The sequence below is a fragment of the Homo sapiens genome, chromosome 12, assembly GCF_000001405.40.
Source record: "Homo sapiens chromosome 12, GRCh38.p14 Primary Assembly".
Classification (NCBI taxonomy): Eukaryota; Metazoa; Chordata; class Mammalia; order Primates; family Hominidae; genus Homo; species Homo sapiens.
Window position 1 is genome coordinate 130,959,928 of NC_000012.12, and position 12,472 is coordinate 130,972,399.

The 12,472-nt window shown below is 42.4% G+C and overlaps 1 protein-coding gene and 1 long non-coding RNA gene across 15 annotated transcripts in view; one reads left to right on the forward strand and one right to left on the reverse strand.

Annotated features, from left to right (window-relative positions):
• The window catches only part of ADGRD1 (adhesion G protein-coupled receptor D1), a 187,563-nt gene that overhangs the window by 6,021 nt on the left and 169,070 nt on the right, over positions 1 to 12,472 (forward strand). For 10 of the 14 annotated variants that reach the window (NM_001330497.2, XM_011538204.2, XM_011538206.2 and 7 more), the window contains exons 3-5: positions 6,536 to 6,619; positions 9,050 to 9,145; positions 11,531 to 11,653. In NM_001330497.2, the coding sequence (NP_001317426.1) occupies positions 6,536 to 6,619; positions 9,050 to 9,145; positions 11,531 to 11,653 (303 nt within the window). The remainder of the gene's footprint in view (positions 1 to 6,535; positions 6,620 to 9,049; positions 9,146 to 11,530; positions 11,654 to 12,472) is intronic. The other 4 variants (NM_198827.5, XM_005253566.2, XM_047428719.1 and 1 more) reach the window with 1 other exon arrangement.
• On the reverse strand, positions 10,249 to 11,531 carry LOC124903054 (uncharacterized). Its single transcript, XR_007063527.1, has 2 exons — positions 11,441 to 11,531; positions 10,249 to 11,171 (listed from the first exon to the last, which is right to left on the reverse strand). It is a non-coding gene; the product is annotated as an uncharacterized LOC124903054 (long non-coding RNA).

Genomic DNA, 12,472 nt, shown 5'->3' on the forward strand with positions numbered 1-12,472 from the left:
CAGGGAAGCCAGGAGGTAGGTTTGGAGAGGGAAATCCAGGGTCGGCAGAGTCCGGGCCCCTCCCCACATCTGGAAGCTTTTCCAGGGCCTCAGGCGGCCCAATTTCTTGCCTCTGCTCCCCAGGGGACAGCCTTATGAAGCTGTGATGGTTGATTAATCTGAATCCATAAATGGCACTGGCCAATAAATTGCAGGCCATTCTTAAAAAGTTTATAAGCATGCCATTTTATACATGACATTTGTAATGAGGAAAAGAGAACTTAAAACAAACCCAAAGCATGTCATTACCCAGCAGTTTCCTGGTCCTGGGGCACATGGCACAGCTGGCTCCAGCCGTTTCCAGAAGTTTGGGGCGGCTCACTTCACCCGCTCTATTTAGGGGTCTGGGAGGCCAAGCAGATAATTACAGTAATTATCATTCCTTAGATCTCCATCATGCCTTAGAGTTTCTAAAGAACTGTCAGAACTGCTAGGCCATGGCAGAAACTGGATTCTTCATCTTCATAGTATTTATAATAGAATTTTAAAAAAACAATGTTTATATCCGATTGAAGAAATGGAAATTTGGCAAATAGAGATTTTCTAAATACTAGAATTATACAGATAATTATATTCTATGTTTATTGATTTATTTATTTATTTTTGCATTTTATCATTCATTCTACCTGTATAGTTAGTTTTTAAATTGCTAACATTAAAAATTTGGGAGATTTCAAATGCAAAAATCTCTCTCTCACACACACACACACATACACACACACCTCCTGGGCCCCTTGTCTTAGACATGGAGGATACAATGTAAATAGAACATTCAAGGAACAGAGTCTGATATAGGAGACAACACACAAATATACTAACAAAAAAATCCCAAACAATAGTAAATGCCATGAGAAAACCAAATAAGGACCTGAAAGAAAGAGTGGATGGTGGTGGCGACGAAGGGGTGGCATGAGGGGAGGGGTCCTGTGAACTGAGACCTGAATCAGGATGAGCTACACAAAACGTGGGGATCAGCATTCCAGGCAGTGGGAACAGCAGGCAAAGTTATGCAGGAAAAATGAGCTCCATGTGTTGGAGGCCAAGGAGGATGGAGCCACGAAGCCAGCCCGACCATCGGCAGGGGCCGGCATTCCTCTGTGTGATATAGATTCCAGCTGGACCAAGTCAGTGCAACACTGAAGATTATTTCCCTGCAGGAAACCAAGGGATAAAGGTTTCCCTGAACGCACACAAGGAGTAAGTAACAGGGAAGGAAGAAGAATAGGGAAATCTGGAAGAAAAATGGAAAAGGAAAAATTAAAGGTTTTATTAAGTTGTTTTGAGTATTAATACTCTGTCTTTCATCTCTCTCCTATGTCTGTCTCTGACACACGCACACACCAAACTTAATAAAACATTACATATGGATGATAAATTATTTCTGAAGAACTGTGGTGATGTGGGCTGAAAATACCCCTTTTTCTCTCTGCCCTTTCCTCTCTCTCTCTCTCGTTCTTTCTCTTCCTCCCCACCCCTCCTCCATTTTCTCTCTGGCTCTGTCCCCTGCTACTTGTTTTGCAGGCTGGGGTTGTTTTGGAGTCCTCAAATGGGCCATGGTTTTGCTTGGCTGGCTGACCTGCCTAAGAAGACGTTTAGTCTTTAGAAGAGTTTGGTGAAAATCAAGGTGGTTGCAGAGTTAGGTGGTCTCATGCCACCTTCTCAATGGGAAAAATGCCACAGAGTGCCTTTTTCCCGAAAGAATGAGACTTTCTTGCTCTGATGAAACTTGTAGGACTATGAGTTATTTTACTCCTTGAGTTGGAAAAGGAACCTGTGGGCTGAATTCAGCCCATCCCATTAGCACCACACAATGTTTTATTTTAAAAAATTGCTAACATTAAAATTTTGATAGATTTTGCTTTAAAAAAAAATCTGAATTTCTGACTCTGCTTTAAAAAATGAAGACCTGACAATCCTGGGCAAAGCTTCCTGCAGAGCCGCAATGCTTCGTTCGGCATCAGGAGGCACTACTTAATTTAGACAGGGCACAGTTTTCCACGTCGCCTCCGCCTCTCCTGCCCTACGACTGCAGTGGTGCCAGCTGATGGTTTCCAGCATCTGCTCTGATGAGTCTGGCCTGTGCCTTCCAGCTTGTTAACTACCTTGGATGCCATCCCTGGACTCTGTCCAGTCACTTCTCAGGACTCGCCGTCCCCTGCGGGTGTCACAGCTTGCAGCCCCTTCATTGCTTGTTTCCAGTCAGTGTTGCTAGTTGCAAAACATCTGTGGCAACTGAGGTGTTTTACACTTGTCTGAAGTGCAGTGGTGTGGAGAGAAGGCAGTGTTCTGGCCTCAACCCTGCTCTTCTCATCACTGGCCACCTATGAACTCTGGCTGGCTTTGGGGTGAACGAGACACCATCACTTTACTCTGTCAGCCTTTCTGCCAGGACTGATTGTGGCCATTTGTAAATGGAAAGAATGGGAAGGGCTTTATCGTCCACAGGGTTTATTTTATAAAGATGAGGATTCTGAAGACACATCTGTTCTTTGTATAACAGATGTTATTTCCTTTTACAATTTTTTTTCCCAGATGACTTGAATAACAAGTCAATGAGGTTTTGTCCTCTTCAAAATGAATATCCTAGACTTTAGGGGGAAAAAAAGCACAGTGGGAATGAAAATGAATCTTTTTGATTTTTGCATTTCAGATTCTTCATATTGCATTACAATAGTAGAACTATCCCCACTGGAAATCAACTGAAGTCAGGCCTTACTTTCTAATGTGCTACTTTATCTAGATAGGGCTATTTTATTTAGAGAGTAACAAGACACTTAAGTTATTGTTTAGATACTTCTCTTTAGCTCATATTACAGAGTTAACTTTGTTCCTGGCTTACATTTTGAGCTTGTGTACATAAAACTGGAGGGACAGATGCAAATTGAAAAGTGGAACCAAGGAACAGGACACGTGTGGATGTTGGGCGCCCTGTGAACAAAAATTCAGATATTACATGGGGTGCGTCAGTTATCTGAAAATGATGGTATGTTCATAACTACCTATGGCACTTCAATTGTGAAAGCAAGCCTTAAAATATTTCTAAAGGAATACAGATTGAAAAATTCAAATAGAGGCCTGGCGCGGTGGCTCACGCCTGTAATCCCAGCACTTTGGGAGGCCGAGGCGGGCGGATCACGAAGTCAGGAGATCGAAACCATGCTGGCTAACACAGTGAAACCCCATCTCTACTACAAATACAAAAAATTAGCCAGGCGTGGTGGCGGGCGCCTGTAGTCCCAGCTACTTGGGAAGCTGAGGCAGGAGAATGGCGTGAACCCGGGAGGCGGAGCTTGCAGTGAGCCGAGATCGCGCCACTGCACTCCAGCCTGGGCGACAGAGCCAGACTCCGTCTCAAAAAAAAAAAAAAAAAAAAAAAGAAAGAAAAATTCAAATTCAAATAGAACAGAAAGATAATGCAATGTAAATCTTCTTCTTACATCTCGCACTCAGCTTTTCGATTTCTTCACTCCCAAAACAGCAGTATTGGTTTCTGCAGTATCTCTCCAGACATCTCTCTCTCTTCTTCTCTCTCCATCCCTGCCCTGAACCAACTATATTTTACACAAATAGCTCATAGTGTACACATTTTTATCATCTTTTTAAAAATTAGACAATATCAATGAAAGAATATGCCATCTAAGTTCATTTATGAACCTTAGTATTCGTCCCAGCTGTATTCCAGTCCAGAGTGTAGATGTGCCATATTTATTTAGCCAGCGCTCTGTAGATGAGCATTTAGGCTGTTCTCAGGTTTCTGATACTATTAAAAAATTCTACAACAAACAAGCCTTGCACAGAGGTCTTTGATCATATGTATGAGTGTATCTCTAGAATAAATTCCTAGAGGTGGAATTACTAGATCAAAGGGAATGTACACTTAAAATTGGGATAGATACTGCCAAATTACCCTTCAGAAGGGGTGTACTGATTTGAACTCCCATCAGAAATGTGGTGGAAGTTGCCAGCTTAGTATAGCTAACTTTTTGCTTGCCAGTCTGATGGGTGAACTCTGATAGGCTCATTGTTGTTTAATATACTTTTTAAACTTATGAGCAAGGTTGGGCATCACTTGATATATTTATACGTAATTTTTATTTCTTTTTCATTGAACTATTTGATTATCTCCTTTGCCTCAATATTCGGTTGGTTCTTTTTAATAGTAGGAGTTGTACTAATATAATACGTTTAATACCTCTAAAAAGAAATCAGTACCCTTCTGTAATATGTATTATATAATACATATTATATAATATGCACAGAAAACTTTGTTTTCTGATTGTGTTTTGTTTTATTTTATTACATGTAAATTTTGATCTATCTGGAAATTGTTCTGGTATAAAGAGTGAGGTTGGGATCTTAATTTTTTCCATGTGGTGAACTGGTTCCAATGTCTTTGTTGAATAATATTTCTCCTCTAATTTAAAAGACCAGCTTTGGGGCCAGGCGCGTTGGCTCACGCCTGTAATCCCAGCATTTTGGGAGGCTGAGGCAGGTGGATCACCTGAGGTCAGGAGTTCGAGACTAGCCCGGCCAACATGGTGAAACCCCGTCTCTACTAAAAATACAAAAATTGCCGGGCATGGTGGTCGGTGCCTGTAATCCCAGCTACTTGGGAGGCTGAGGCAGGAGAATTGCTTGAACCCAGGAGGCGGAGGTTGCAGTGAGCCGAGATCGCGCCATTGCACTCCAGCCTGGGCAACAACAGCGAAGCTCTATCTCAAAAAATAAATAAGTAAATAAAAAATAAAAGACCCTCTTTATCACAAACTGAATTTCCATATGTACTTAGGCATCTTTGTGGATTTTTCTCCCGCTGAACTGTCTATCCGCGTGTAACAATCAGCCATCTTTATTGTAGTTTCATGCTGTGCCTTATCATTGAGTGTGAATCTCCTCTCTTTATCCTCTTCTGTTTCTTCTCCAGATTTTCTTTCTTATTTTTTATATAAACTCCATAATCAGATATGTCCCCCACAAAATTCTCTCAGCATTTTTACAACAAATTTTCTAATACTCATAGATTAAAGTATAGTTTACGACATTGAGTCGGCTTTTCCAAGAATAGGTTGAATCCTTCATGCATTCGAGGGTGCTTTCACATCCCTCAGAATTATTATTTTTTATTTTCTTCATGAAAATCTTGTACAATTCTTATTCTTGTTTTCATAAATATTTTCTTTTTGTTGGCTGCACTTAGGAGAACTCTTCTTTTTTTGTAGCATTATTGTTGGAATACAGAAAAGCAATTGACATTTGTATATTAAATTTGTACAAGCCTCCTTGCTAAATTCTTTTGTTGTTTGTAATAGTGTTTCACTGACGAAATTCTTTTCTTATTTGTAATCGTTTTCCACTTTGGTTATCAGGCATACATCATTTGAAAATAATGATCTTATTATCTCCTCTTTAAAAAGTATTTTTTTTAAAAAAACAAGGACTAACATAGAGACTATTAGTCTGTCCTTTTCTATGATCTAGCAGTCGCTTGGGGCAGTTGATTATTGTTTAGTCATCTGAACCATTATTTCCACTTCTGTGAATGAATCCCAGAGGACTAATCCCCGAGAAGACTAAAATTGTATGCATAAAGCCACTCATGTCAGCGCCACCTGTACGAATAAGGATGGAAGCTATTGATTGTTCATTAACAGAAGAATGGCATAACATGTTATGGGGCAGCCACTCAAGAGACTGTTACCCAAACTCAATTATGAGGGTTAGATAGAAACAAAGAAATAATTCATATAGCATTCAATGAGAAGAGCAGAATAGAAAATAACATACCTGCATAAAGTTATGTTTACTCAAAGTATAAGGATCACGAAGGAAATTTCAAACTGAGTAATGCTTAGTGTGGAGGAAGCATAGAGGGAAAATAGAATGACCAGGATTAAATTGAGAAAGTGAGTATTGCGTCTACAATGAGCTGGCAGTGTGATTTTGTGCAAGACTTTCATTTCCTGTCTTTACAAATAGGCTAAGAATTCAATTTTCTTATAGATTATTGTTAGCATGAAGTGAGGAAGTGCTTGTTAAGGACCTCAGTGTCTGGCATACCATTCATGTTAGTTTTCTCCTCTTTTAAAATGATTTTACCCTTATTTGTTTCTATAGTGTGATTGCATTGATATTAACTCTAAAATAATGGTAAATAACAGCGGGATATGGAACATTCTTATCTTTTCCTGACATGAATGGGCAAGCTTCTAGTGTGTCACCAGTAAATGCAGTGGCTTCTGTTTTCATGCAACAAGAGGCATCTATTCCTATTTACCCTGTTTTGTCCAGTTAAGGAACTATTTACCAACTTCTAATTTAAGAGTTTCTTTTTCTAACCAAGAGTGTGTGTTGAATTTTATTAAATATGCTTTCAGTATCTCCCACAGACATGGGATCCTTTTACTCTTCCCCCATAATGTGTGTGCTAAGCGGTTCTTACCCTCTGGTTCTTTCCTCTCTAATGATGATTTAAAATTTTTATTCTTTTTTCCCCAAGGATTTCAGGTGTTGGCGTCTGCTTCCCATTACTGGCCACTGGAGAATGTGGATGGGATCCATGAACTTCAGGATACAACTGGAGGTAGAGACGCGGGTGCTGAGAGCGGCTGTGGGCGCGGGAATCCCAGGGCCATCAGGAGGCGTGGGTGCTGAGAGTGGCTGGCCTTGAAATCCCAGGGCCATTGGGGGACGTGGGTGCTGAGAGTGACTGTGGGCCGGGGAATCCCAGGGCCATCGGGGAGCAGATGTGGACACAATCTGCTTTGAAGCCACGGTGATAGAGATGAACAAATACTTGTGTAACTTCCCGTAATAGTTATTTCAAAGCTTTTTTTTTTGTAGAGATGGGGTCTTGCTATGTTGCCAGGCTGGTCTCAAGCTCCTGGCCTCAGCAATCCTCTGGCCTTGGCCTCCCAAAGTGCTGGAATTACAGGCGTGAGCCACTGTGCCAGGCCACGAAGCATTTTACTAGAATTTTTATAGAGAGAGCTATTGCGTATTGAATGGGAGAATTTCTGATTCAAAATATGATTAAAATGTGCATTTTCCCCAACAATCTTGAAACAGAAGCTGGCCTGAGGATGCCTCTATGTGCAAGTCAGGCGTCTGTTTTCTACGTTGAATGGACTAGCGTCATCTGCACACTGACCACAGCAGGGGCCTATTGATGAAGCAGATGTCAAAGGTCATGCCAACTAAGACCAACTCACATGTTTGAAGGGCCCCCGTTTCATTCAGCAAACGCATCCCCATCTACCAGTCAGCTTCCCCACACATCAGCTCCATTTGAAAAGATTAAGCATCGCCTAAGACGTTTCCAGTGAGGCCCAATTCCAAATAGTCTGTTTGAGTTCATTCAGACATTTGCTGGTAGGAGAAACCTCACATCTTTCTGGGTATTTTTTTCCCCTTTCTAATAAGGACTTTTTAAAAACCGTAAGCTTTGTATGACAGTTTTCCATTTTTATTTTTATTTACTGATTGCTCTTGATCATGTCAGATGGCTGACATGGGCGGCGAGGGTTTACCGTACAGCAATCCTAGCACGTGCTTCGGTCGTCCCTGTTCCGTGGGAGGCGTTTTATTTTTAAAACCATGTATTGCTGGTGACTGTGATTTCCACATTGACACACTGGCATTTTCCTTACTCCTGTGATTTAATGTGTTGCTGGACATCACCGCTGAAGCTTCTGAAATGTTTCCTTAAAATTTGCAAACTGAGACCCATCGGTGCTGCCTCTGTTGCTGGTGTTCTCAGACTGGGGCGCCGTTGAGGAGCACGCGCTCCGTGAAGGGCACCTGCGTGGGTGCCACGCGCTCCCTGCCCAGCATCGCTCTCATCCGCCTGCCTGTAGGGCAGCAACATGGCCACATTTGGAAACCACCCTACAGCCAGATGTCTTTTCCAAAGGGTCGGCCTGGCAGGGCTGAGAAAGCCCTTGTGCAAGTTTGTTTCACCACTGGCTCGGGTTCAAACGAACCACGTTCCCTTGTTGGCATCCAGTTTTCTTTTTTCAAGGCCTTTATTTTAAAGCCATGGAAAGGGGGTCATTTCACCAAGTGGAAATGCCTTCTTGAAACAGCTCACTGTTCCAGGACCCAGCAACTAAAATGCTAGGAGTTTTTTCAAACAAAAGCTTGAATAACTGTCAGTGTCTTTCTCTCTTCACCCCTATACCTGAACTCATTGTGGTGGCTTAAATCAGTAACTCTTGGTGCTTTGAAACCTTTACCTATGAAAAATTCTTCTCCTAAGGTGATATATTCACACAGATACAGTTACACACTGTGGCTGAATTTTGCTCCCTGAATATATTGACTTCCAGTAAAGCACTAATATATCCGTGTTAGTCCTGGAACATTGCAATGTGGAAGGTTTCTCTGCACTTCCCTACTGGATGCATTCTCTAGGTTGTAATGCTATGCTGGCATATTTGAATTGATTACAGCCTTCTTAAGGGAGAAAAGAAAAGAATAGACCCCATCAGCACATTTTGCTGCGGGGAACAGGTGAATAGCTTTGGCAAGCCTTTTGAGGATGTGCGGCTTTGTCGTTTGTTGCCGAACTCTCCGTCGTTTTGTCCATTTGTCATCATCTCACGCAGTCATTTTCATGCAGAGTGTCTGTCTCATCAGTTCTTGTGACATCATAACCATTCATCCTTTTGTTGAGCCTGTGTTATGAGTGGCCAAGTTCAATTTCATATCTCTCAACTAAGTATCTGCCTATGTGTTGGAGCCAGAAAATTAGAACTATCGCTTGCGGCCAAATTCAGCAGCCATCACGCCCTGGTGTGGGAACTGAGTGGGGCCACTGGAGTGGCCGAGCTGCTGACCAAAGTAAACAAGGGTGGTGGAGGCTGGGGGATGTGAGGTCCGAAGAGAAAGTCCAGGGTGCTCTTGGATGAAAGAGCCCCTCCTGGTGCCTGCTGCAGGTTGAGAGATATGTTGGTCCCATTTGTCTTTTGTCTCACTCACTTGCTGTGCTTTTTCTTTTTGTTGTTTCACCCAGCGTCCCGAACCCACAAGCTCACTGTGCTTCCTTCCCGTAATGCTACTTTTGTGTATTCCAATGATTCTGCCTACTCAAATCTCTCTGCAACTGTAGGTGAGCATTTATGTACTTTTGTTCTTCGTTCTGTCAAGTTTGGATCTACGATGAATTCTAAGGCCAATTCTGTTTGGTAGTATCTGAATTCACTATGTCTTGGCTAGCAAGTGAGCAAATGTCCCAGTCAAGACAGCAGATCCAAGGTGTTAAAAAATAACCACTAGGGTTAAGTCTAAAGGAAGATTGCAATACATTAGAACAGGGGTCCCCAGTCCCTGGGCCACAGACTGGCAGCAATCCGTAGCCTGTTAGGAACTGGGCTGCACAGCAGGAAGTGAGTGGTGGGTGAGTGAGTGAAGCTTCACCTGTATTTACAGCTGCTCCCTATCGCTCACATTACCGCCCGAGCTCCACCTCCTGTCAGATCAGCAGCAGCATTAAATTCTCTTGGGAGCACAAACCCTACTGTGAACTGCACATGTGAGGGATCTAGGTTGCATGCTCCTTATGAGAATCTAATGCCCGATGATCTGTCACTGTCTCCCATCACCCCCAGAGGGGACCGTCTAGTTGCAGGAAAATAAGCTCAGGGCTCCCCCGATTCTACGTGATGGTGAGTTGTACAATTATTTCATTACATATTGTAATATAATAATAACAGAAATAAAGTGCACAATAAATGTAATGCACTTGAATCATCCCGAAACCAACCTCTCCAACCCATCCATGGAAAAATTGTCTTCCATGAAACCGGTCCCTGGTGCCAAAAATGCTGGGGACCACTGCACTAGAAGGTATATATATTCTTTCAAGTTCCCAGGATTGTCTAAGCCAGCTGCTTGTTTTCAGAACAAAACAGACCCAAGATGAGACCTTTTCTAGACATAGAGATTGTTTGGATTTTTAAATGAATTGTCTTCTTTGGGGGAGGAAAAGCATGCCATTTTAATGGAAAATTAAAGTTAATTTAAAAATACCTCATCAAACATTTGATTTCTTATAAACATTAAAATCAGCATTTCGTCTGTAGCTGGACTTTAAAAAAATCATTAAAAGCTGTTTGTGAAACATATACCCACAAGAATCATAGTTAAATTATTGTCTTATCTGATAACCTCCAGAGCCTACATGGCTCAACATGAAGCTCAAAGCAAAAGGGGTAGTAGCAACTGAGGCATTTATTAGATCAGCATAGAAGCCAGTTCTGACCCTGTCAATCTTACCCTGTGATCCTTTTCAACACAAAAACTGACTGCTCTTTCAACTGTAAGGTGATTGGCTTCCAAAATTAATGTTTCCAGTCAAGCAGTCTGACTTAGGGGTTTATACAGCCTAGCTCAATTACGCAACCACTAGTGATCCATTTAACCTTGCAATATATAGGTGTCCCTCAGCAAAAATGGGATAAAATTTAAAAATGAGTTTAAAAGCAGTAAGGAAAAACACTGAGGTCCCTTGAGTCGGTTATCCATGTGACAATATAGCTGGAAAGCCTGAGCTGGGGTTGGGGTCAGGTCCACAGACCCTGTTAGCTCTCCCGTGTGTCTTCAGCTGGGCTGACGGCTGCCGGGGGCTCAGACATTCTCCCTGACCCATGTGGTAGCAAAGATCTCTGAGCGATTATGACCCCAGTTAACAGTAAATCCTACTCGCTCCTGATTTTTACAGTCTTCACTTATTTATTCTGTAAACGATTTACCCCACACACTCACCATCAGATACCCTGGCCATGGGAACGGGACACAAGATGATTGGACGGGGCAGTGCCCCTCGGGATTTGCGGCCAGCTGGGCTTGTCACCCACAGGCTCTCCTGGGACTATGCAAAATGTTGCTCGGGGTTTTCCTCCTGGCGCCTGAAAATGGGTTCTGCTAAAATCCCGAATCTACCTGTCCAGGTTCAGGGGATTTCAATTAAAACTCAAAAGGAGAAGGAGTTCAGCTGTAGCTTCACGTTCACACTTGCACTGAAACGTTCCACTTGGAACACTCAGCATGAGGACGGGAGTGGGGAGGGCTCGAAAAGCAGGTCGGCACAAAGTCCAGGACAGGAGGCGGTCGCCACGCCACGCTTGGTAACCCATCTGTTGGCAAATATCACAATTATCACATCATCATACGATATGATATGCAATATGAAATCCATATGCAAAGGTCTGTATGCATTTGTATATAATACATGCATATTATATACAAATACATTAATATCATTTAATATTAAATTTTTATCTGACATACACATTAATAATTTACAATTTAATTACTAATAATATTACTGATGCTATGAATATTATCATAGAATAATATATGATGTTATAAATATATACTTAGATAAATAATAATGCATACTTACACATAAGTTATTTGTAGGTCTGACACACATCTTCAGACTTTTAATCTCGGAAGGTTATTAACATATGATGTTGTCATTTTTCTTCCTTAGATATTGTGGAAGGGAAGGTCAACAAAGGCATTTACCTGAAAGAGGAAAAGGGAGTCACGCTTCTCTATTACGGCAGGTACAACAGCTCCTGCATCAGCAAGCCAGAGCAGTGTGGCCCTGAAGGTGAGTGGCTGATCCCTGCGGCATCTTTGTCAAGCATTTCATTCTCAGGGAGCACCTGCTCCTCTGGTGACTGGAAGATGTGAACCTGAGGTTCTCATCAATTGCAGAATGCGTGAGAATGTCAACGATGGATCGGAGGGCAGGGGAGGGAGGAATACAGGCAAGGAGGTTACTAAGCAGAGACTTGTCCTGGTGGCTGGAAGTTATAACATCCTCTTACAGAGATGTGAGATCAAAATACTTAATCTTGTAAAGGATGAAAAAAAACCTTCCTAAAAAACAGACACAGCGATGTCACAGTGGGGACTGGACAGGGCCGTGGCGTTTGTGGGAAGGAAATTGATGGCATGGCACCTGCAGTGTGATTTCTGGCTCTGGGATGTTGACGGTGAGCGGGCAGGGCATACCCAAGAACACTTGCGCCTGGTTTTGGTTCTTTTACATTCATCGAGAGGGGCTGGGCAGTGGCTCGAACTGTCCCGGCAAGCGGTCGCAGGCTTGTGGCTAAAGTCATGCCATGGACAGAGCAGAGATGCAAAAGAAAAACTGGCAATCGACTTGCTTTCGTTTGCTTTTACCGTGTGAAGTGTAACCTGCTCTCTCGTATCTAGGCTTCAGGCAATGCACGTCTGGATCACATTGCAAATTTTCTGGGAAATTGTTCTCTGCCTTCCAAACCAGCTTGGAGCCTTCAAGTTCCTTTCTCCTAGGCAAAATGAAAGTTATGATTTCTAGGGAGGAACAAAGCTTAATGCAGTCCTCGTAGGAAGCTCTAAGGCATTTTGGACATCAGATGGCCTTCTGTGATGAGTTCATTGT